This window comes from Homo sapiens, chromosome 6 (genome assembly GCF_000001405.40).
Source record: "Homo sapiens chromosome 6, GRCh38.p14 Primary Assembly".
NCBI classification, from domain to species: Eukaryota; Metazoa; Chordata; class Mammalia; order Primates; family Hominidae; genus Homo; species Homo sapiens.
In genome coordinates, this window is record NC_000006.12 from 14,775,959 (window position 1) to 14,801,315 (window position 25,357).

At 43.0% G+C, this 25,357-nt stretch overlaps 6 annotated features.

Moving 5' to 3' along the window:
- Positions 7,986–8,537: an enhancer, noted in NCBI's record as "NANOG-H3K27ac-H3K4me1 hESC enhancer chr6:14784175-14784726 (GRCh37/hg19 assembly coordinates)". NCBI's record gives its function as "activates a minimal SCP1, AML or CMV promoter by ChIP-STARR-seq in naive H9 embryonic stem cells {active_cell/tissue: H9 hESC(naive)}" and the evidence as "EXISTENCE:reporter gene assay evidence [ECO:0000049][PMID:30033119]".
- Positions 8,538–9,089: an enhancer, noted in NCBI's record as "OCT4-NANOG-H3K27ac-H3K4me1 hESC enhancer chr6:14784727-14785278 (GRCh37/hg19 assembly coordinates)". NCBI's record gives its function as "activates a minimal SCP1, AML or CMV promoter by ChIP-STARR-seq in naive and primed H9 embryonic stem cells {active_cell/tissue: H9 hESC(naive and primed)}" and the evidence as "EXISTENCE:reporter gene assay evidence [ECO:0000049][PMID:30033119]".
- Positions 8,538–9,641: a biological region, named in NCBI's record as "OCT4-NANOG-H3K27ac-H3K4me1 hESC enhancers GRCh37_chr6:14784727-14785278 and GRCh37_chr6:14785279-14785830".
- Positions 8,980–9,274: an enhancer, noted in NCBI's record as "tiled region #8253; HepG2 Activating non-DNase unmatched - State 21:Repr". NCBI's record gives its function as "activates a minimal TATA promoter and a strong SV40 promoter by Sharpr-MPRA in HepG2 cells {active_cell/tissue: HepG2}" and the evidence as "EXISTENCE:reporter gene assay evidence [ECO:0000049][PMID:27701403]".
- Positions 8,980–9,274: a silencer, noted in NCBI's record as "tiled region #8253; K562 Repressive non-DNase unmatched - State 7:EnhWF". NCBI's record gives its function as "represses a minimal TATA promoter and a strong SV40 promoter by Sharpr-MPRA in K562 cells {active_cell/tissue: K562}" and the evidence as "EXISTENCE:reporter gene assay evidence [ECO:0000049][PMID:27701403]".
- Positions 9,090–9,641: an enhancer, noted in NCBI's record as "OCT4-NANOG-H3K27ac-H3K4me1 hESC enhancer chr6:14785279-14785830 (GRCh37/hg19 assembly coordinates)". NCBI's record gives its function as "activates a minimal SCP1, AML or CMV promoter by ChIP-STARR-seq in naive H9 embryonic stem cells {active_cell/tissue: H9 hESC(naive)}" and the evidence as "EXISTENCE:reporter gene assay evidence [ECO:0000049][PMID:30033119]".

The following is a 25,357-nucleotide window of genomic DNA, read 5'->3' on the forward strand; positions in this document are numbered from 1 at the left end:
GTCTTAGTCCATTTTCTGCTGCTATAAAAATATACCACAAACTGCATAATTTACAAAGAAAATAGATTTATTTCTCAGAGTTCTTAAGACTGGTAAGTCCAAGAGCATGGTGCTGACATCTGGTAGGGATCATTCTATTGTGAAAAGCATCACATGATGAACAAGCATATGAGATGGGAGAGAGGAAATCAGGCCAAGCTCATCCTTTTCTCGGGAGCCACTCCCACAATAACTAACCCAGTCTTATGATACCTGCACCAACCCACTGATGAAGACAGAGCCCTCATGAGCGAATCACCTCTTAGAGACCTCACCTCCCAATAATGTTACATTGACAACTAAATTTCAACAAGAGTTTTGACAGGGACATTCAAACCACAGCAGTGATCCAAACCTTTCTTTCTCCGTGCCAGTCCAAGATCAACCTAAAAAAAGACTACCTGTCCTGTAGATACATTTCGTTGGGTTTAGAGAGCTGGTGGTGGGAGTACAAACCACTGCACAGTCCGAGTTATCAAAATGAGGTTTAGTTGTAGGGGAAGTGGATTGTTGACAGTCTTATCAAATTCCCAGGCATTTGCCTGTAAAATGAGATCACTCTAAACCTGGAGAACATTTCACTTGCAGAAGACATTACTCCCCCATTCATTTGTAACTATTTTGTGTCCTGTGCCTTCTATTGGAACTTTTCTCCCTGCCTTTCCCCTTCCTTCAATCAGTGATTCCCACCTAACCTGCAATATTCAAAACCATTCCTGATTGAGAACCACTGTTAGAAACACAACATCAAACTGTAAAATTTACAGTGACATTCAGCTGGATTTTAAAAACCAACTCCTTCAGGGCCCTTTCTATGTCCCTGTTTTCACAACAGAATTTATCACTTTCTTCCCTAAATCTCTGTGTGGTGTTCCTGGGCAAACACATCCATCATACCCAATTAGGCAAAAACAGACAAGAAAATCCAATTCTCTCCTCTTTCCTTCCTCCTTTATACTGAACTGCGACTAAAAGCAGCACTCACTATTAGTGATACTAATTTGGTACTTAATTATCCTCAGGCTTCTGTCTTCCCCTAAATCTGTTCACCCTTTACCTCTGCACTTTGTCACCAATAACTGACTAGAAGCTCCATATGAAAGACCCGTACCTGGGCCAGGCGCAGCGGCTCACGCCTGTAATCCCAGCACTTTGGGAGGCCGAGGCAGGTGGATCACCTGAGGTCGGGAGTTCGAGACCAGCCTGACCAACATGGAGAAACCCCATCTCTACTAAAAATACAAAATTAGCCGGGCATGGCGGTGCATGCCTGTAATCCCAGCTACTCAGAAGGCTGAGGCAGGGGAATCACTTGAACCTGGAGGCGGAGGTTGCGGTGAGCCGAGATCGTGCCACTGCACTCCAGCCTGGGCAACAAGGGCAAAATTCCGTCTAAAAAAAAAAAAAAAAAAGAAAAAAAGAAAGACTCATACCTGCTCGATTCCTCCTGGTCTCTCCCGACACAGTGGTACAGACTTAATAGCTCTCAGTACCTATTGGGGTGAACTAACTAGCTGACTCCACTTCTGACACTTCCATACAGATCTGGGGAGTGACGGCAAACCTCCACTTCAAACCTGGTTTCTTGAGCAAGCCATTTTATTTATGGACAGGACACCAGGGGCACAGTGAGTGTTTACATGTGTATTTTAAGTCAGCATGACTGTGCGATTCCTGTATCTCCTGGGTGTTGCCTTTTCTCTTTAAAGACGGCATTCCTGCTTCACATTTTACTGTCACGTAAGACATACTCTAGCCTCTATAATGGGTGCCGAGAAGTGGATATTGTAGCCCCAAGGGTTTTTAAGCCCCCTGATGAACACATCATTACGCATTCACAACGGTAAAGTGCATTGTTAGGTTTTCAGCAGCCTGCAAGAGAGACCCTGCTGAGCAGGATGGAGAAAGTTGCGGCAATTAATTGGTAGAGTTGAATTGTTAACATTCTCTCAGTGTTCCCAGCACAGGGCTCTTGACTGGCTTGCTGGAGAAAATAACTGGGGGTGGGAGAGAATGAAGGGTGGAGTAGAGGAGAAACAAACTCTCATTAAAACCCCAATCAAGCCATTTTAGCACTTTTTTTTTTTCCACAAGGCATTTCCTTTGAATCTAGAATGCTATACTTGTTGAACGCTATTATCATAACAAATCGCTGCTCTTTCCTAAAACTTGAAATTATTTGCTTTCCTTGGGAGATTTTTGTGTAGGGTGTGTATTGGGAAGCTCATATGCTGGATTCCCAAGAGGATATATGTTTGCACTACAGTCTCTGACAATATGCAATTCTGTACAGGTACACACATATGTAGGTATATTGTGATACCAAGACAAGTGTGCTATAACAGAACAGGGACTCCTATCATAACATGTTCCAAGTTGTGTCCATTTCTTTCTCCTCTTTGGAGTATTGGGCTGAAAGAGAAATGGGTATTTCTCAAAAATGATCTGGCGAGTGCCCAGAAAACCTTTTCGCATATAAAGGTTGCTGTCATAGTGGACGCTGGTGACAGTGCGTGCACAGGTCTTCTTTCCAGAGCTCCCTTCCACTCCTGCCTTGGTCACAGGGAGCTCCCGGTAGCCATGCCTGTTCAACACGGCCCCATACTCCGAGCCATGTTGACTGGGACCAGAGTGAGCACCAGACGCGTGCCAGACCAGTGAGAATCTCAAATTCCAGACCCCAGGACTTTGGAATAGCAAGAGGTAGACACTAAGGTGTGTGTTTTCTATCAGATAGACTGAGGGGCAGATAAAGTCATCCAGCTAAGAGAAGAAAGGAGAATAATACAAAAACAGATAGAAAAGGGAGATGGAGAGAGAGTGCTGCCTACGTGCCCAATGGAGCATCCTGTCTCTAGGGCTGACCTGTCCAGCTGACGTCCGCATTCATGGATTAAGGACCTTTCCGCTGATGTTCAGGAATGAAAAAGAAAAGCCAGGAAAGAAAATCCCCACTGAGAATCCTAAGAAGTAAATCTTCATCTTGAAGAGAAACATTCCTATGCCTCCTACATTATTTCTACCTCCTCCAGCAGCAAATTTCTAGCAACAAAACGTATCATCAAACACATCTTATTCAGGGACAAGTGTCAGTGTGTTGTTGTCATGATTAAATTTGACTCATAGGTACTCAAAGATTTCATGTGCTATATATTTATCTACTTCTGTTATTGAGAAACTTGGAGGAAAAGACTAACTCTGTGTACAAACTCAATGCATCCCTAAATATCGATATTTTGTAGAGGTGGGGTAATTTTTACGGCATTGAAAGAACTGCCTACCCCCAAACATCCCCTACCCTTCCTAGTCAATGTGTTGCTATTTATAAATTCCATTGTTATAGTCATTCTTCTATATTAATGAGTCCTGTCCTCTGTTTTCAAAAATTTTCTTTTAAGACGTAAATATCATGTAGAAGATTTTACACACTAAACCCGTAACACAATAGCATGAATTCACTCATCAGATTAGTTAGTTGGTATTTTAAAAGCCTGAGGATCAAGGTTAACAGATGGTAATCTTTAATGGGCAAGAAAACAGATTTCTCTCACGTTGGAGAGAATTACTGGGTCTCTGTGTATGTGTGAGGGTCTATTGGTGCCGCATAGTGAACACGACCCTATTCCTCCCTCAAGAAGCTCAAAGTTAAGTGGAACTGGGGCAGCCAGATGTATAATAACTGCAATACCTTGCAGTATCTGCACTAATTGAGCTGTGTACTTGATACAGTAGTAGCATGTGGATGGCACAAGGGGAAGGGTATGGAGTTTCATAGATGAGATGCAGCTTAAGCTGGGCCTTGAGCATGGGGAAAAGTCCATGAAGTGGATGTTCCTTCCAGGCAGAGACACCAGCCTGGGCACACAGGTGGCACGCTAAGGGGAACTGCAATATAGGATTTGATGTGGCTTTCCATCAAACAGAAGGAAGGAGGGCCTGGAAGGATTGAATTAAATTGTTATTGGGACTGGATCATAAAGGCCTTGCTATGGTTTGAATGTTTGTCTTCTCTGAAACTCATATTGAAACTTAATCCTCAATGTAACAGTATTAAGAGGCGGGGACTTTAAGAGATGATTGGATCATGAGACCTCCCAATCTTGGACTTCCCAGACTCTAGGACTGTAAGAAATAAACCTCTTTGCTTTAGAAATTACACAGTCTCAAGCATTCTGTGATAGCAACAGAAAATGAACTAAGACATGCTCTTGACACATATCAAGATATTATATTTTTTAAAAAATACAATCCTTGGAAGCTTTGCTAACTCTAACAGGCTACCTGCTGGCCAAGATCAAATACACAGAGCCAATAGGAACTACCAAGGAGGTTGCTTCTGAATTCTCACAAACAGTGTAAGCAGAGGCCTGCCCAAGGGAAAACCAATATGGCTCTTTCTCTCAGCCTTTCTGAGACCTGGCCCCTGAGCCCCAGGGTGACAAATGCTTTCTCAAGAGTATTCCTTTCTTTTATTTTGTTTTGATGATTTACAGGGCTTATCAAAAATGTGCATGACTTCCTATTTACAACACTTGTAACCCTATCTCCAAAACAGACTGACATTTAGATAGTTTTAAGATTAATACTTAAAGATTTCTCTGCATTTAAACTCTACTGATTAACTCATTCAGGCATGCTAAGGTCCACCTGTGTGCAATGCTATCTATGCCTATGTCTCGAAACATAGCAAAATTTATGTTAGTTAAGGTAAAAAGCTCCCTGGTTTTGCTCATAATCAAAGGATCATTTAGGGCCATTCCAAATCAATCTCTGTCATGCATTTTTAAAAAAGAAAAAAAATCAAAGGATTTTTTTTTAAAGCAAGGGACACCATAAACAAAGCGAACAAACAACATATTGGAAGAAGATATCTGCAATGTGAAAACTGACAAGGGACTACGATCTAGAATACATACAAGGAACTCCTGCCAGCCTACAAGATTGGGGCAGCCATTCTGGAAAGAATCTGGCAGCACTCAGCCAACATAAGGATGGACGTATGCTATGACCCAGCAATCCTGTCCCTGAGACACAGGGCATCCCTGTATGCCGCTAATTCCTAGGGATTCTCCCATAAGTCAAGGGGAACATGTATAAGGATGTTCATGGCAGCACTTGTGTAATGGGGAGTTGGAGGCAGTCCAGGGCCTCATCACTGCAGAAGCAGATGAGACAGCAGAGGAGCACAGGCTGGAGTACTATACAGCAGCGAGAAGACACCACCTCCTCCCCACACGTAGCAACACACATCACGACAACATGCCGGGCAGAAAAAGTGAGAAGCAGAAGGAGGTTGTTTGTGTACCATATTCGTAAATGCAAAACACGTTTACAATACATCTTACAAGAATACAGGCAAATAAAATACTACAAACAAACGTGTTAAACTGGTTACCTACAAAGAGGACAAAAATAGAGGTGGGGATGAGAATAAAAGCAAAGCCTGAAAACAAAGGAGGGCCTTGAAGAAATCAAAGGTTAGAGTGTGCTGTGGCCTGGACTTCTGCATCTGAGGGTTAAAAACAAACACAACAGGGACAGGGAAGCCACTAGCCATAAGGTCCTTGAGGGGAGGGTGCAATGAGCTCCTCTCTAAATCCCTAACAGGACCCAGTACTCTGTCCCATCTTTAGGCAACGCCTACTTTTTGAACAATGGATATTTGATTGGTCAATATTTAACAAATGCATGAATAAGAGGAACAATTAATCTAACAGAGGGTGGCCAGGACACATGGAGTCATTCTCCATAAACAAATCATCACAGATGCCCTCTTGGGTGCCAGGCACCGTGATAGATCCTGGGAGTGAAATGAGGGATGAGAGACAGTCTCTTTCCTCTTGGATGTAGGCTGAGGAAGTGCAATGGCTGAGTCAAGTGGCAATTATGACACACACTGTTGACGGCAGTGACACAGATAAGAACAGGGCGCCCAGAGACCCTGACGTGGGGCTCCTAACCTGACTGTTCAGGAAGAGCATCCCAGAAGAAACTGATGCCCAAAAGATAAGAAGTTACACAAGTAAGGAGGAGGGAGGGAATGGAGCATAAGAGGCAAGAAAAACTGCATGTGCAGTGGAGCCTGGGTCTGAATGTCGCTGTCGTAGCTCTGACACCTGCTGCAGGCGGGCCCATCTTCCCAGCCTTCGATACAACATAGCGGTTACTTTAACAGGTGGAGCCATACCACATTCTTAGTGTTCTCAAGCCGACTTTATCAAACAAAAACTGCTCCCTGGGTAAGGGAAAAAGAAACAAAAAGAGCTCTTTTTCAGAGCAAGCAAATGTGCACATCCAAGTAGATAGATGGTGCCTAGAGCAGTGTAACAGAAGTCAAGTACTTACCATTGTCCTGCAAAATCATTTCAATGCAACTTGAGAGCAATATAGCAATCTGAAAGGAAAGGCTTTTAGCCAGCCGAGCTGGTTCAGGTTTCCAGTTTTCCTTTGATCCCATGATTCTAATTCTTGTTGTTTATCAGCACGGATGCTCACAGCTGATACACTTGACAAGTCTCTCTGGAAAACGTTATCACGTGTGTAGAGCTTTGGGTTCGAACTGGCTTGATGAACTGAAACTAAATCATTAGAAATGCCAGTGCTGGCCGAGCGCAGTGGCTCATGCCCGTAATCCCAACACTTTGGAAGGCCGTGGCAGGCTGACCATTCAGGAGATGGAGACCATCTTGCTTAATATGGTGCAAGCCCATCTCTACTAAAAATGTGTCCAGAATTGGTGGGTTCTTAGTCTCACTGACTTCTAGAATGAAGCCGCGGACCCTCGCAGTGAGCGTTACAGTTCTTAAAGGCGGCGTGTCCAGAGTTTGTTCCTTCTGACGTTCGGATGTGTTCGGAGTTTCTTTCTTTAGGCGGGTTCGTGGTCTCGCGGGATCAGGAGTGAAGCTGCAGACCTTCACGGTGAGTGTTACAGCTTTTAAAGTGGCGCGTCTGGAGTTGCTCATTTCTCACGGTGGGTTACATAATCTACACTGGCCTAAGAAGTGAAGTTGCAGACCTTTGCAGTGCGTGTTACAGCTCATAAACCGCAGTGTGGACCCAAACAACGAGCAGCAGCAAGATTTCTTAAAAAGAGCAATAGAAGAAAGCTACACTGTGGAAACACCTGCGAGCAGGTTGCCACTTCTGGCGCTGGCAGCCTGCTTTTATTGTCTTACCTGGCCCCACCCACATCTTGCTGATTGGTCCATTTTACAGATAGCTGATTGGTCCATTTTGACAGGGTGCTGATTGGTGCATTTATAATCCCTGAGCTAGACACAAAAGTTCTCCATGTCCCTCCCCTCCATGTCCCCACTAGATTAGCTAGATACAGAGTGTCGATTGGTGTATTTACAAACCCTGAGCTAGACACAGAGTGCTGATTGGTGCATTTACAAACCTTGAGCTAGACACAGAGTGCTGATTGGTGCATTTACAAACCTTGAGCCAGACACAGAGTGTCGATTGGTGCATTCACAATCCCTTAGCTAGACATAAAGATTCTCCAAGTCCCCGCCAGACTCAGGAACCCATCTGGCTTCACCCAGTGGATCCCACACCTGGGCCGCAGGTGGAGCTGCCTGCTAGTCCCGCGCCGTGCGCCCGCACTCTTCGGCCCTTGGGTGGTCGATGGGACTGGGCGCCGTGGAGCAGGGGGCGGCGCTCGTCGGGGAGGCTCTGGCTGTGCAGGAGCCCAGGGAGGTGTGCGGGGGGAGGCTCAGGCATGGCGGGCTGCAGGTCCCGAGCCCTGCCCCACGGGGAGGCAGCTAAGGCTCCGCGAGAAATCGAGCACAACAGCTGCTGGCCCAGGTGCTAAGCCCCTCACTACCCGGGGCTTGCGGGCCGGCCGGCTTGCCGTTCCGAGTGCGGGGCCACTGAGTCCACGCCCACCCGGAACTCGCGCCGGCCGGCAAGCACCTGGCGCAGCGTCGGTTCCTGCCCGCGCCTGTCCCTCCACACCTCCCTGCAAGCTCCTGCCTTGGCCAGCCCACAAAGGGGCTCCCACAGTGCAGCGGTGGGCTGAAGGGCTCCTCAAGCGCGGCCAGAGTAGGCGCCAAGGCCGAGGAGGCGCGGAGAGCGAGGGAGGGCTGCAAGGGCTGCCGGCACGCTGTCACCTCTCAAAAATACAAAAAAAAAAAATTAACCGGGCGTGGTGGCGGGCGCCTGCAGTCCCAACTAATCGGGAGGCCGAGGCAGGAGAATGGCGTGAACCCAGGATACGGAGCTTGCAGTGAGCCGAGATCGCGCCACTGCACTCCAGCCTGGGCGACAGAGAGAGACTCCGTCTCAAAAAAACAAAAAAAGGAAACAAAAGAAAAAAGAAATGCCAGTGCTAGAAAGAATGCACAAGATCATCTATTTCAGGCGGTCTCAAACTTGAGCCTGCAACAGCATTCCCTAAAGGGCTGGTTAAAACTACACAGATAGCTAGACCTCACCCAGCGTGGCCCATTCAGTAGGTCTCTGTTGGGGTTTAAGAATCTTGCATTTCTAACAACTTCCCTGAGAATGCTGTTCCAGGGACCACACTTTGAGAACTACTCTAATTTTATTGATGAAGATATTGAAACCCAGAGCATGTTAGTGATTCATGTAAGATCGCACACATTCTAGGTGACCAAACCCAAGTCTTAGGAGAATGTGGTGGTTGGGAAATAAAAAGCTATGAAGATTTTTTAACTAAAGCCCTTGGTATTAGTGCATCTTATCTGGTTTTTACAACTATCTGCCTTCTCTTTCCACCCAAGCCTGAGAAGTACTGCCAATTATGGTGTGGGGTTGTGACAGCAGCAGAGGAGGTGGGGGCGGGTACGGAGCATCCACAAAGCCCTGGATGTTCTTGCCGGTCTTAACACCCTATCTCCAAGCTCTCTGCACAGTTTTCAGGGCATAAGTCAGAACTGTGAGAACTAGCAAGGACTCAGCGAGAGCTTCTTACCCGTGCTTCACGACACATTAAAAGGCAAAAACGTGTTCCTGCAGATCAACCCGGAAGAGCCTGCTGCTTACCGGTTGGCGCCCAGTACCTACACGGCAATAGCTGCTGCAGCCTGACAAATTCGTTGAAACTCTCTGAAACACAAAGGAATCACCGCCAGCCTCCCTCTCCCATTGTAACCCTGCCATTGTGCAGGTTGTAGTCTGGGAGAATGATGGCCACAGCAATTGTAGGACTTTCAATGCTTTAAACAAATGGGGGAAGGGAGGAGAACTAAACAAAACTAAACAAAAGCAACCACAGGCCTGTTTACCAGAGAGAAGTCTTAATGGGTTGCAAGAGAAAGAGCAGGAAGTCTGTGCTTTCACTCTCATTTGTCTGCTCAGTGGTGAAGAGCCTGGAATGGACAAAGATTTGGGCTTGCCACCCTTGTTTTGTTGTTCAACCCTCCCTCTTTTTTATGAGGAATTTGATGGAGGAAGCCAAGTAAGTCATCAGTGGGGGCCCTTGCCATCATCAATGTCAGTTATTGAGTTGAGGGCGCATTGTTTAGGCATTAAGAATTCAGATGCCAAGTTTCTCTATTTATCATATCTAGGGCCCTGAAAGCTATGGACGACTCACACTATTAACTGATATTTGTTGTTTAGAGCAATCTAATCCTTACAAGATACTTTTTGGATGGACTGTCTCATGATGTATTATTACAAAAATGGAAATGCTTTGCAAGAAGCATAATTCTGAATGCCACCAAAAAATAGCGATAATCTTTCTGCCCATTGAACAGTTTTGTTCAATGAAGTGTCACAATTACACCACAGCTGTTAAACAAGTTGTGTTACTAGTTCTAGATTTGCTTCCATTCTCTTTAGAGCTACATAGGTATGTGATTTTTTTTCTCCTCTGGAGATTTTTGATCATGGTGTGACTTAAAGGGAGGGTTTATGCATTTTATTCCAATGAATCCCAGTTTTAGTTAACTAGCTGGTAGTTGAACAAGTCATATAATAACAATTTTCTTTCATCTTAATGCAGATTTTAAATAAAATATTCATAGCCTTTTTTTTTTAAATATATACAGAGGTTCACTCTGTCACCCAAGCTGGAGCGCAGTGGCACTATCAGAGCTCACTGCAGCTCAACCTCCCATGCCAAAACAATCCTCCCACTTCAACCTCCTGAGTAGCTGGAACTACCAGCATGCACCACCACACATGCCTAATTTTTCTTTTTAATTTTTTGTAGAGACAGGGTCTCACTATGTTGCCCAGGCTGCTCTCAAACTCCTGGGCTCAAGCGATCCTCCCAAAGTGCTGGGGTTATAGGCGTGATACACCATGCCCAACCCACATAGCATATTATTTAAAACAATTATCTACTTAATTTTGAGAGCAAGTTACTAACAGACAATCATAGCCATCTGACCACCAGCCTGAGCTACAGCTCATCTGACCTCCTATGGCCACAACTGAAAAGGCTGAAGGAATCAGCCAGAACTCCATCTACTCAACCCACAAAGGTCTTGTTTAGAAAGGTGTTACAAGCTAGGGCTTCCAAGGTTGGGAAGCGCAAATTCTCTTTACGTTGCCTTTAATTTTTTCTTAATAACCTAGTTCAGATTTTTGAAAAGTAGAGGCTCCCAGAACAGCAGAACACACCATGCTGAGCTAGCACCTCATGCTGTGCTATAAAGAGAGTTAACACCTCCCTCCAAAACTAAGTCCACTCTTGTGGTTTGCATTATTTCCCCTGCCCTCCCCACACCCAACTCCACACAGGTGCAACTCTGATGTAGTTTTAGGGTTCCCAGAGTCATCACCTCACCATCTAAGACTTGTGTTAAAATGCTCCCTGTAAAATTCTTTACACGTTGGTTTTTTAATTGCAGAAATGCCTGATTTACTCCCAAAGAATGTTTGAAGATCCTCAGGGCTGTGCAAAGATCCATCATTATCAACAATTGCTAAGGCAGCTTAACCCTTATGTAAAATATTATGCATACAAATGGCTTTATTTTGAACCAGTTCACACTATTAAAACTTGAGTCTGGTACAGGCTTCATCCCAAGGCTGTGCTCAATAACAGCACAGTAGCAAACACCTTGGCTATGTGTCTTCCTGTTTGGTTGGCTCATTTTATATCTTTGCACGTTTAAAAAGGCAATGGGAGTGCTAATTAAAATGCAATCATGCAGATAAATTATATCATGTTCCTAAAAGGTAAAATGAAAACCCTTTTTATTTCAAAATCCTTGTGATACCCAAGGCAAAACACACAGTGATCCTGAAAACAGAGAAAACCTTTCATGATTATTGCATGTTTAAAACCCAGATTTATTTCTAGATTTGTTTGCATATTGTTTATGGAATGTATAACACTTTAATTGTGAGTAATTTCTTGGGAGAGTCAAGACTTAGGGCTTTTAGTGCAAATGTTCAAGTTTCGGTAACTCTGAGTAATTTGTATTTTCTGCATTCTAGCTGTCAAATGGGGAGTACAATGCGTATCTTAAAGCCTACTCCAGTTCAGGGGTGAGGACAACCTCAAAACCCATGGTCAAGTTTCACTCAGCAGATTCTTTATTGTACCTACAGCTTACCAGCTCTCAGGGGAACTCTCCTGCCAGCAACCAAAGATCAAAGCCATCATGCTGACATCCAGCAAACTGTTTTATCTCTCTGAGCCTCAGTTTCTTTCCCTGTAAAATAAGCCTCAGTAAGGCATTGCTGACTGCTTTGGGGATTAGAGGCCCATTTGAGAATTTGCTGAAAGCCATTTACACTGTTCCCCTAGAAACAGCAGACGGGCACATCCTCACAAAACTGAGCACATGAATCCACTGATCCTCTGATGCACATCCAGGGACCTCAAGTTAGAACTCCAGGTCCCTTCCAGCACAGACATTCCATGTCTTCACCCAAGACCCAGTTCTCAGCTCTAGCCTGCCCCCTTTACTCACATTGCAAAATTGATCTTTGCAAAAAAAAATAAATAAAAGCATATAAAAATGAGTCAATGTGAGGATGTTCTGCTGTGGATACCATTTACAGCCCAGGATAACACGAAACCATATAAGCAACACAACTAATTTGGAATCATTGAAAGTATGAGACAGTCAAAGAGTAGTTTACCCACTCCCTCCTTTTAAAAGCCATGTACTTCGTTGTAAGCCTTCACTTCAAGGTCACTGTCTCTCCCATAGATTTTTACTACCTTACAGTTTCCAGTCCCAGGCTCAGATATGCTCATAACCTACTTTGGTGTTTGGAGGAGGAAACCTGTTTGAAGCGCTTAGTTTTTACCTTTCAGCTTTGATCTACATCCCTGCAGAAGTTCTAAAGTGTCACCCTGAACTCTCCTTCCCCCTCTCTCCAGGTCAGTTCTAGGACAGCATTTCTCATGGAATGTACCACAAAACAGTGTGATCCGTGGCCAAATGGATCTGGGAAATTCTGTACCTTGGAGATTCCCAAAGCATTTTATCATATTAAAGGTTCTGAGAAGGCCTTCATAAAGAAACCAATTTAACTTTGTTTTACTCAATGTTATAAAAACCGACGTGGGTCAGGCGCTGTGCTCATGCCTATAATCCCAGCACTTTGCGGGGCCAATGTGGGCGGATTCCCTGAGCTCAGGAGTTCGAGACTAGCCTGGGCAACATGAAGAAACCCTGTATCTACAAAAACTACAAGACAAATTAGTCAGGCTTGGTGGTGTATGCCTGTGGTCCCAGCTACTTGGGAGGCTGAGGTGGAAGGATCACTAGAGCCTGTGAGGTGGAGGTTGCAGTGAGCTGAGATGGTGCCATTGCACTCCAGCCTGGGTGACAGAGCAGAACCCCATCAAAAAAAAAAAAAAAAAAAAAAAAAAAAAAAAAACCTATGTGATCATAGAATAATTTTCCTTTCCTATCCCATTTTTAGACCAGACTTAGAGAAATTCAACAATCTAGTGTCTCCTATGTTCTCAGCCAATGGACTCTCAATGAGCTTAATCTAGATTCTCTGTTGACCAGGTTCATTTGTCATTCCTTTTATCTAAACATCATTTTGTTCAAAGACCTCTTTCTTAGGTCTTTCCCAGCTTTGCTCACTGGTGCTGTCAAGCCACCTGGGTCCATTTCCTCTACTAGCAGTTCATATCCACACTCCCTTTTGGAACTTACAATGTACATTTGCATATAAAAAGACAGTCACCATCTTGTCCCCCATTGTCTCCCCTTCAAACGTGTTTAAATAGAATCTTAACAATTTGGAACTGAGAGGGCCCTGAGGGATCACCCAAACATTCTTCTAACTTCATAAAGAGAACATAAAGAGAACAGACCTGCAAGGTTAAGTGACTTGACAGAAATACGGCCTGAGCTCAGATTTTTTGATCCCCAGTCCAGTGGTCCTAGGAAGTGGTTCAAGCTTCCCAGTGGCATATGAGATGATTCATCCCAGAGAGTAAATTTAGTAATTTACAATGGGGAATGAGATGTGTCTCACACAAGACTAGTTATCTACATGGTGATCTACCCAAAGATAAAATCACACTCAGATGCTTTTTGGTAAAGGGGGGCTTAGAGATTAGGAGTTGGATTTTCTTAAGGGATTGATGTGCTGGAAAGAGCACTGGCCTGGGAGTTAGGAGGCTGATTTTAATTCTAATTCTCCCATTAACCAGCTGCAAGTTCTTCATGTCACTGGGCCTCATCAGCTAGACAGCAGCAAATTAGACAATTACCTTTAAGTCCCTCCTAGCCCCACATTTAAGCTTCTGTGATTCTAAATTCTTGGAATTGCTCTGTCTTTATGTTTTCAGTATCCCTTTTATGTTTTAACACACAAACCTTTAGCCTTTGGTCGAGGGTCTTTTCAATCCATAATCACCTAGTTTTGGGAATAGAGTCATTTTTGTCCTATCATGAGCATTAGGTAAATTCCAGATTCTTGAATAAAGTGTTCTTAAACACACACACACACACACAAACCAGGTATCCACAGCTGTTGATTTGATCTTCCTCATCCCCTCCTGGAATCTCTGAATTAATATAGCTCCCCCCTACTCACCATTATCTATTCATTCTGTCTCCATGGAAAGGCCCAGAGTGCTCAGGGAAGGCAGAGCCACGTTGCATGTGAAATCTAGACGAGTCCATTTGGTAGTCTCCACAGCTTCCTGCAACACCAAATCACAGTGTCATTAGCTTCAGATTGTTATGACAGGGTCTCTTAATTCAAGTCTGTGATAGTGCTTTTAAATCACAACATCTATTAAGTGTTTTCATTTATTTAAAGAATGTCCACTGCCCCCAGGGCCTCTGGGCATGGGTACAAAACACTGCTATCAAGAGGAGTCCACGGCAGCTCTCAGTAATCAACTAGCTGTTCATTATCACACTTTCACCGGTAACACTAAGTACATCAACAAGGATGAACTATCAGAAACATATGATTCTTGTTCACACTTACATAAAATAGTGACAGTGCTGTTAGTAATTAGTTACCAGATCCTCAATTGCTTTGTTCTTTGGCATTAGTAATATGCCACTTGAAGTTTTACACCAAATTAACATTACCCACATTCAACTGTTTCAAAGCCCTTTGAAAATGTGCTATCCTTCTTTACACACAAAGACGACACGCCTGACAGTAACACGTGCATTTGAATCATTTGCTTCCAGCCTTAAGTTAAGAGTGTACAGAGACATCTATTTCCACCTGACCCATTTTGGAACAGGATCATTTTATTCTGAGGTTATTAGCCGGAGTTAAGAGATTTGTCCACCATTACAAAAAATTATTTCACTATACGAAGCTAACTTACCTGTCTCAGGAATAAGTTTATTAACATGTAACCCTGTCAAACCATCAGCCTAACAGATTAAGATGAGGGAAAGCAAATTCTGAATATAACCAAGGCACTTACTCAACTAGGACTCAGCCTGGTTCCAAGCTCAGCTCATAGACAGAAACGTAATGCCAGAATTTGGGGGATAATATTAAATAATTTTGTAATCCATGCTAAGTCCCTTAAATTCCATTTCTATTTTTCTATTTGTAGAAAGCAAATGATATCTGTTGATATCTAAATTTCTTATGAAAATGAATGAGGTAGCAATTACATGAATTACTTCCATTTTTAAGAGAAAGTGCTTCTGGAATGAAGAGGATTAGTGGAGACTAGGCAGGATCCCAAAACCGGGCTCCAAATTCTGTTCCAAAAATGTGGGTGTCTACACTGTTAAAAGAAACAAAAGCTGGATCTAATTCCATTGGAAGTAACTACCCTCACTTTTGCCTTATAAATGACCCTGTAGAAAATGTTTACATAATACCTAGGGATTTATTTTTTGTTTTCCACTGACACTATAAATCAAATGTTTTCCATTGACATTGTAACTAGAAAATTGGATCTAAATCTTCTCACTGGTTAACACAGCCTTGTAAGATCTGGAGTCACGTAGCTTAATTTCCAAATCCATCTGAAACCCCCAGAACTTTGACTACCCATTTCCAATTGAAATATGAATGTGTCAATTAGCTATCTGGCTGAGACAGGACACATTGAATTCCAAAGCTCCAGATTTTGACATAGGATTAAATGCTTTCAATGCTATAAATGCATATCCTAGAATTACATTTAATCTTTTTCTTTTCTGTATTTTGAAGTAATTAAGTGTTAGGTTGTTGTTGTTATTGTCATTGAATGTGTTGTCTTTTATGTATGGAAATTCTCCTGACTCAACAACAGAAAAACATGCTTCTGTGGTTTTCTCTTAGTAGAAACTCCATTGCATTGCTCACCATTTCACCGAATTCCTCTTGCAACCATATGGAGCATGACTGGTCTGATTAAAGGGGCCCCTCTGTTTAACTGGAAGAATTTCGGTGAGAGGGTTTGCATTCAGTAACATGAAAGAAATTTAAATTTATGATCTTTGATTCTTATTATCATGGCCTAATAAACAGAACTAACTATCTCAGATATTATAGGAATGTAATCAAACATTTATTGGGGAAATATAACCTTAAATATTTACTTAAAGAATGTATTCTACATTCTAATAAGTTTTTACTATGTTGGCAAACAGAAAAGAATTACAGGATTGGGAACAAATGTTTTGTTCCTGCAAGTAATTATTTTGCTTAAAACAAAATGCTCAACTTTTTTTTCCTTTCCACAACGTGAATTCTTTGATCCTTTTGTATAAAAGGCTTAGATGATCTGTTGTCTCTAACCAGAATGACTGCATATGTTCAATAATATATCAGTTTCATCATCCACCATAGAATAGGCACATATGACAATAAATCATTTTGGGAACTTCCTGAATCTCTGCCAAGTTGTAGACAATAAAAGATCCTGCTTGTAAAGGCAGCTATAAAAGTTAATTTCATACAGGTTCCCCAGCACACATGCTACGGTTCAGTTCCAAACAGATGTGAGCTTGGAACAGCAGTGGAAAAGAGCAAGAAGCATTTTTGCTAACTTTCCGTATCAGGAGATCCAAATACTTCATGTTTTGTGCAACCTTTGGTCATTAACACATTGCAGCAGGTATGAAAAATGAATTATTCAAGCTTTTCTAATGCCTAAGATGCTATTGTTTCCAGTCTAAAGTATCCCTCCACATTCAAAAGATTATCCACCAAGCCAGACATGCAGAAACCAAGAAAATCCTCACTGAACAAAATAACAAAGACAACAGCAGACATTTGGAGCTTCACTTTGAGAGAATTCTCTTGAAACAAGAACTTTCATTTATTTCCTTCCTTGCTTTGGACTGTAGATGTCCTAGCAGATAGCTGCAGAGAGTTAGCCACTCCACTCACCCATGTCGTCACCAGGAAGAGGAGATTTGGAGGAAAGAAGGTTAGACTTCAGCAACATCAACACAGTTACGTGAATGGGTTTAAAATATCCGTTTTTCAAGGATCGCACTTAGTCCTTGGTCACAAAGGTCACTAGAAACTCTTTCCCTACCCCTGCCAAGGACCAGTGTTTACCTTTATTTATTCCTAAGATTCCCATGATTTTAGGCTAAAACCATGTTTCTCCTGATTTCAAACAATAGTCAGGTTCTCAGCAAGTCACATGTTCATCTGAAGTTTTGCAATTGGAACCATTCTCTATGCATCAGCAGAGCTTCATATTAAAGATTTCTCTGGAATTGATTTGCAACAATAATGATCAATCCTTCAGTTTATCTTTTGCTGGAGTGGGGATTTCTTAATGTGATAAAGACAGGCTCTCTTTACGAAGCCCTGCTGATCTTGAGAGTGCAGAGCACAACTGGTATCCGAGACCTTGTAGGACAATTAAGTGCCCAGAGATGAATGAGGGCATCATTAACATTTTAATCATACACCTGAAATTAATTAAAGCCAACCTAGGGATTGAGGTGCTCCAGGCCAGAAAAAAAGTGGAATGATGATGTTATGTTGTAGGTATGTACATTATCACATCTTACGCTGGCAGAATGTTTTAAAATTACAAATGGCACTTATTTCCATTTATTAGTTCATATGAACATCAACTCAGCCGTATAAATGTGTGAGGGATTCTTATTTTGAGGAAAGAGAGGCTCAGTGATATTAAGTGACAGGCTCAGGCCATTCCTTCTGCTATAACAAAATGACTTTAGACTGGGTAATATATAAATAATAGAAATTTATTTTTCACAGTTCTGGAAGCTGAAAAGTCTTAAATCAAGATACCAGCAGATTTCATATCTAATAAGGGCTTGTTTCTATTTCCAAGAAGAAGATATCTTCTGTCTGTGTCCTCATGCAGCAGAAGAAGCTAAAGGATAAGAAGAGACAAACTCACTCCCTCAAGCCCTTTTATAAGGGGCACTAATCCCATTCCTGAGGGCAGATTCCTCGTGGCCTAATCACCTCCCAGTGGTTCCACATCTTAATACAATCACCTTGGGGTTCAGCTTCCAACACAGAAATTTTAGAGGGACACTGACTGTTGACCCTTAAACAACATGGTTTTGAACCATGAGGGTCCACTTACAGGCAGGTTTCCTTCTGCTTCTGCCACCACTGAGACCACAAGACCACCACCCCCACTCCTCCTCAGCCAACTCAACATCAACATGATGAAGACAAAGACCCTTATGATGATCCACTTCCATTTCATGAATAGTAAATATAGTTTCTCTTCTTTATGATTTTCTTAATGACATTTTCTTTGCTCTGGTTTATTTTATTGTAGGAATATAGTATATAATACACATAACATACTAAGTATGTGTTAATTGACTGTTTATGTTGTTGGTGAGGCTTCTGGTCAACAGTAGGCTGTTAGTAATTAAGTTTCAGGGGAATTGAAAGTTCCACACAGGCTGGGCGCAGTGGTTCATGCCTGTAATCCTAGCACATTGGGAGGCTGAGGCGAGAGGACCACTTGAGCTCAGGAGTTAGAGACCAGCCAGGGCAACATGGCAGAAACCTCATCTCCACTAAAGGTATTTTTAAAATTAGCCGAATGTGGTAGTGCATACCTGTAGTCCCAGCTACTCGAGAGGCTGAGGCAAGAGAATCATCTGAGCCGGGTGGGGCATGGGGGGTGGTCGAGGTTGCAATGAGCTGTGATCACACTACTGCTCTCCAACCTGGGTGATAGAGCAAGCCCTTGTTAAAAAAAAAACAAAAAGTTCCTATGCAGATTTTTCTCTCCATAGGGGTGGGAGTCAGTGCTCCTAACTCCCACACTGTTCAAGGGTCTAATGGCATATTAAAACCATACCAGGGATAACCCTAAAAAAGGACAAAGGAGACAAAGGCCACAATCCCAAGGGCACAGCCCTGAAAAGGCAGTAGGCCAGGAGTCGCTGCACAGCCCAGAGCACCACTCGCACAGTGTCCAGGATCTTTGCCCACAGGGACGTCCGCATGGAAGACATGGGAAATGAGGTTCTTCTGACAGCTCGGCCGCTGACCACCTGTGGTCTTGGAAAATCACTTTAATTCTTGGGCTTCCCTTGTCTCATCTTTAAAAGCGAGGAGGGTGGACTATAAAATGAACCCTAAAGCCCCTTAAGATTTGACCTTCTACATACCTGCTCTGGATGGAGATAGTGGAGATGAGCTGCATGTATTGGTAAAAGACAGTAGGAAATGTGCTTTGGGAGCCTTGGGCTGATAGTCCGCCTGCTCCTTAGTGATGTGTTATCACAAGTACTTTGCTTTTTCAAAAAGTAGGGCCAGGTGTGATGGCTCACACCTGTAACTCCAGCACTTTGGGAGGCCAGAGGCAGGCAGATCACTTGAGTCCAGGAGTTTGAGACCAGCCTGGGCAACATGGCAAGATCAAGTCTCTACAAAAAAATACAAAAATTAGCCAAGAGTGGTGGCCCATACCTGTGGTCCCAGCTACTAGGGAGGCTGAGGTGAGTGAGACCCCGTCTCAAAAAAAAAAAAAAAAAAAAGAAAGAAGAGAAAAAGAAATAGGCACACATGTGTCAAGCCATAAGCAGGGTAAGCTCAGAGCCAGAGGGTATTTGTCCTTGAACTAGGATGGGAGACAGAACAAAACAGAACCCGGTGCTGGCCATCTAAGAGCAGAGAGCAGAGCAGTGAGAAATGAGGTCACCCTCACTGGCCTCTGCACAACTCTCAGTTGGTTCCTCCTGGGGTTGGCTTTCAGATTATTGTTTGGTTTTCTCCGAACCAGGAGCATATGGTTTTGCCTCACCAAGAAGGTCAGAAACTAAATACCCGGACTGTGACTAGCCTGGTCCTTGCCTGAGGAACTAAGCCTGTCACCGTATCTCTCTCCAGATTCCTCCAACCTCTACGTTTGACCAACTGGACTTGTGCCACAAGCAGGAACGGACCTCACATCCCATCCTGTTGCTAGTGTTCTTCCCTCCCTCCCCCATTTTGCAATTCAGAACACAGCGGGTCTTCATTGGCAGTCTGTCAGTGGGTATTAAAGGTCCCAACGGTTTAAAGTGTACTCTGCGGCATTCAACAGAAGTAGGACTGGATTGACGTCCAGATGCTAAAAGGAGAACGATTCCTTCATTTAGCATCCCATGAAAACCACAGTCCTATGTTTACAATAACTAGAACATCTATAGCAAGTAACAATTTCTTTCTATCATTGTCTGTTGTCATCAGAACAGACCAATTTATAAGATCACAGAGCTAATTTTGTTTTATTTTACTTAATGGGTCTGCTCTTTGCAAACCAACTGAGTATTCTATAAAATAATAAATGGTACCATAGTGGCAGGAAGAGTTCTCTTCCAGCTCCCAAAGCACAGCTTTCTACCTGGCAGGATATGGATCACTGGTTTTCAGTCCATATTACTTCCTAGAAGGTGTGGGCTGCAAAGGAGTTATGCTTTATGTATTCCAGTGTTTGAAACACAGCTCTTTTAGCCCACAGAAGAGTACTCTGTATTGAGACACTCCTCTGGCAGGGTCTTCACATCTTCGCAGACCAACCTTGTGAGGTAGAAATCTAGCAATGGACTTTCCATTTGACAGAGGAAGAAACTGACAGAGAGAAGAGAGGAGCTGTTTGTCCAGGCCATGTTTGTCCGGAAACACATGCCTGGCTTTCAGACTCGTTTTGCTCCATATCACCAGCTCTGGGTGTCAGCGGTAAAAGCTGTCTAAAGCAAAGGCCCTTGATAGTCAACATGGATCTCCTTCCATCTTGGAAATATTTTTGGCATCCTGGTAGATAACCTAATAATGCCCTTGGCAGCTCCTCCAAGCAAGTTAACTTTGGTAACATGTTAACCAATGTTATAACCTTGCCATCTAGATAGAAGATTTCCACAAGTTAGCCTCTCTTCAAGGGAGAAAGAAGAAGTCATAAACGGGTACAATTGTCCAAAAATTCCCCCTGGCATTTTCACCATCACTGGGCAGAGATTGTTCTTCCCAATTATAAAATGTACTTTAATCCCAAAACAATTGCCTAAGTCTTATGCCTTGGGAAAGAAAATGAACCATGACGACATCTCTAAAGACAATTCCAAATGTTTTAGAGAACTGTTATATCGAAAGGAGCATGGGAACAGATTTTCATAGTCCCTGTCCAACCATCGCAATTATTTTTTAGTTTCATACCCTGAATAGTTGATCTTCAAAATGCCCAAGTTGATACCAGGCCATTCAAAGCTGTTTAAAAGTAAGCTGACACTTGAGGAATAACAGTCACAGTCATAATACAATCTAACATCTCTACAATGCTTGAGAGTTGACCGTGTATCTTTCCATTTATCATATTTAATCCCCACAACTTCTCTAAATTGGCCTCTCTTATCCTCATTTTGTAAATTAACAAGTGTGGCCAAAAATGGCCAGAAATGGTGTTCCTGTCCCAGTTTTCTAAATTGAAATCTAAAAGCTTCTTTCATGATACCAAAAATAAATCTCAGCCATGCCAATTCTATTTACAACATATATTGGGGAATCTTAAATCAAAAAAAAAAAAAAAAAGAATAACTTTACATTGCCATAATTGTGTATGGACTGATCTTGAAAATGGGTAAAACATTATCATACAAATCAACAGGATTAAGTACTGAACACCATTATTTGGCAGCTGAGCTTTGAGACCTTGCACAATGCTGTGCCCATCTTAGAATGTTTTCCCAAAAACCAACCAAAATTACTCCAGTTCTCTGGGGCAGAAATCTTTTGGCTCTCCCATGGCTTGCCTGTGTATTTCAGGAGATTTCATCATCTCATCTCATCTCAGTCTCTCATATGCCCCCAGGGGAGGAGACTTCAAATTCTGGGTAGAGTTCTACACTGTCAACATCTATAGGGTGCAGGTGATTTGTAAAACAGTGTTCAGCAGCCACAGTCTATTCCCTGAAACTTCCTTGCAAAAGAACAAATCACCCCCTCACTGACTACCAAGTGAATGCAATTTAGGGCTGCATGTTATGGGCCTAGGGGAAAAGGCCAGGTATAGACTTGACCTGGAGAGAACAAAGATAAAGATGTTTGGGCAGCAATTGATGTTAATTGTTTGTCTCCTCAATTAGAATTTTAATCTTTCTTCACTGGTTGTTTTTCCCAACTCTTAAGACAGTATCTGGCAAATAATCAGGATTAAATGAATGTGTGTTAGAAGGGAAGGAAAGAAGAGAAGCATAGAGAGACAAAGGCTAGGGAAAAAAAGGAAGAGAGGGTATGGATGGAAGGAAGGAAGAAAGGAAGGAAGGAGAGGAGGAAGGGAGGAAAAAAGGAGGGGAGGGAGGGCAGGAGAGAGGGAGAGGGGAAAAAGGGAGGGAAGGGTTGGGGGAGGGAGGAAGGGAGGGACAGGGCTTATTTTTCTAAGGCTGCCTCCAGGAAAACAGAGCAGGGATAAGTAGGTTCAAGTTGGTAAGCTTTTAAATCTTCTTATCACAATGTCTTGCTTCCCCACCTCCCTCCCCCTGTAGAGTCAGCACATCCAGCCTAGAAGCAAGACTCTCCTCCTACATTACAAACAAGAGTGTCTGCCTAGGAGGGAATGTCTTCATCATAGAAAAAAATGCACCCTTTCCCACTGTGTCTAAATTCCTCCAGGTTTCCTCCCTTGGCCCCAGGAGCCCAAACAGCCTTGGACCTGCATCCCTGAGGGAGGTCTTCCAGCCTCACTGGGAGTCCAGCCTTTCTGTCCAGCCCATTAGCTGCACCATGGAGCCCAAGTGTGGCTCATCTTTCTAGCCTTGGCTTTGCTCGTGCTCCACAAACAAATGGATGGGTCAGCCCAGAATATCCAGCCTGTTTCCTGCAGAAGCCATGTTTTCTCTCATATCCCAAACCTTCGTCAGGTGGGTTCTGTTTCCAGTTTATAATGGGCCCCCTCCCCAACATTCTCAGCCTCCTCACACAGCTTCTAAAGGGCTAGGGGTATCATGTTCTCCAGCTCCGCAGACACCTGTTGCTTGCCCTCAGCTCCTGACTCCCCAGTTCGCAGGGTCAGTACCACTTAAAGATGTATTCAGTGCAGAGAGAAGGGAATTTCTCCTGTGCTGTTAGTTGCCTCAGCTTTGTCCCCAGCTCCTCTGGCTGGTTTGGTTACTGCCCTGTGTTTAGATCAGAGCTAAAATTTGGGGGTTTTTTAGCTACTTCTGAAGGACTGCTCCCAGGCTGTGAGTATTGATGGGTAACCACAGGGAATGCCTTCAGAGGTTCTTCCACTTACTTACAAGGACTATGCTAATCCCTTTTTTTAGGAATTGGGGAGTGAGGGAAGGAAGGAAGGAAGGAAGGAAGGAGGGAGGACATTAGCATTACAAGGACAATGCTACTCCCTTTTTTAACATTACAAGAACAATGACCTCACAAGAACAATGCTAAGCCCTTGTTCTTAGGAAGGAGGGAGGGAAGGAAGGCAGGAAGGCAGGAAGACAGGAAGGAAGGGAGGGAGGGAGGAAAGAAGGGAAGGAAGGAAGGAAGAGAGGGAGGGAGGGAGGAAGGAAGTTGGCTTCACTAAGCAACTTTTACAAACTAGACCCAGCCCAAAGTGCTTTACCTGTAACACCTCTTTTATTCTCAGGATCAATTCTGTAATGAGGTGCATATTATCATCCATATTTTACAGAAGAGAAAACTGAGGTTCAGAGCAGTTAAGTAAAGTGATCATGATCACACAGCTAATAAATGGTCGAGGTGGTACCCCAAACCATAGACGTCTGATCCTTTGGACAGTTCTAGATTTTCCTCCCACTACCTCCTCCTCCTGGATTGCTGTCTTAATCCCTATACTATGGTATCTACCTTTCTGGGAAATCTAAGAATTTATTAACGAGTGTACTTTTTCTGCCTCTATTGGCTTTATGGAGAAGGAGTATCTTTTATGTAAAAATGAAATATAAATGTTTGTCTCATAAAAATAAAAAACTCCACTTTTTCATGAAATCACAGAAATTGTCAATGAGAGCTGTCTTGTCAAAGTAAACAAAACTACTACACCCACAGAGAGTAAAACAGAAAAGCTGGCTCTACTCAAGATTTATTTTGCAACTGATTCAGATTAAGGGGAGGCTCTTAGGGAATTTTACTTTAGGAACTATATCAGAGGCTGTAATACCCATTCTCCCCATCTCTAACAATGGAACTCCCACATTGTACTTGGGCACAGCCCTTCAGATGAAGACTACATTTCCCAGGCTCCCTTGCAGCTTGGTGTGGCCATGTGATCAAGTTATAGCCAATGAGATGTGAGCAGAAGGATAAATACCACTTCTAGGTCACAGCCCTGGGAAACAACACAAACCCATGGTTCTGGCTTTTTTCCTCCTTCCTGCTGGCTGCAGCTGTAGCTGCTTCCTTGGACCCAGCCCCAGCCTGCTGACCTCTGCACACTGTTACATAAGAGAAAAGGAAACTTCAATCCTATTTACATCACTATAATTCAAGATCTTTCTTTTTTTAATACCTTATCTTTAAGGAAAAGATAAGCCTGTGCCCTAACAAATACAGGGGCTCAGGACTTCCACCTTAACAGTACGACTGACAAGGAACACATTTAAATTGTGATTTATTCAAGTCTCATGTTCATTTGAGTTTTTAATTATATGTCAATCGATTTACCAATCAGTTAATATTTTTGGTCATCTGCTCCATTCAAGGCACTCTACTTGGCACTAAGATAAACAGACAGTCCCTGACTTACAATGTTCAACTGAACGATTTTATGATGTTATGATGGTGCGAAACTCGTATGCATTCAGTAGAAGCCGTATTTCAAGTACCCATACAACCATTCTGTTTTTCACTTTCAGTACAGTATTCAATAAATTATATGATATTTTCAAGACTTGTTTATAAAATAGGCTTTGCATTAGAGGTGTCTGCCTAGCTGCAGGTTCATGTAAGTGTTCTGAGCATGTTTCAGGTAGGCTACGCTAAGCTACGATAAGTTCAGTTGATGAGGTGCACTTAATGCATTTTCAACCTACAATATTTTGAAGTTATGATGGCTTTACTGGGACCTTACTCCATTGTAAGTCGAGGAGCATCTGTGTATGACGTTATCCAGCCCTTAAGAACTTCATCCTCAAGCCAGGAAGACCAAACGGACACAAAAATACTTCAGAGCAGTGCTGTACATTATTAACCTCCACACAAGAGGCACCAATGGCGAGCATGGTGGAGCTATGCAACTTAAACCTTCATGAATAACACCATTCCAGGGTCAAGGGGTCTCCCAATTTGAGATAAGATTTTGTGGTGTTTGAATCTGTTTTTCCTTTCCCAAATCACTTATTTTCCCTCTGCTTCAAATTCTCCAGTTATGGATGGTCCCAGGCTGATTATCAATGTCTTCTTCCTTTTGACTTTATGACTTGGACTCCCAGCGCCTCCAATATGTCTTCCTGTTTCTGGTCCTAGAGGACATGGAATTGGTCCCAGTCCATTGCAT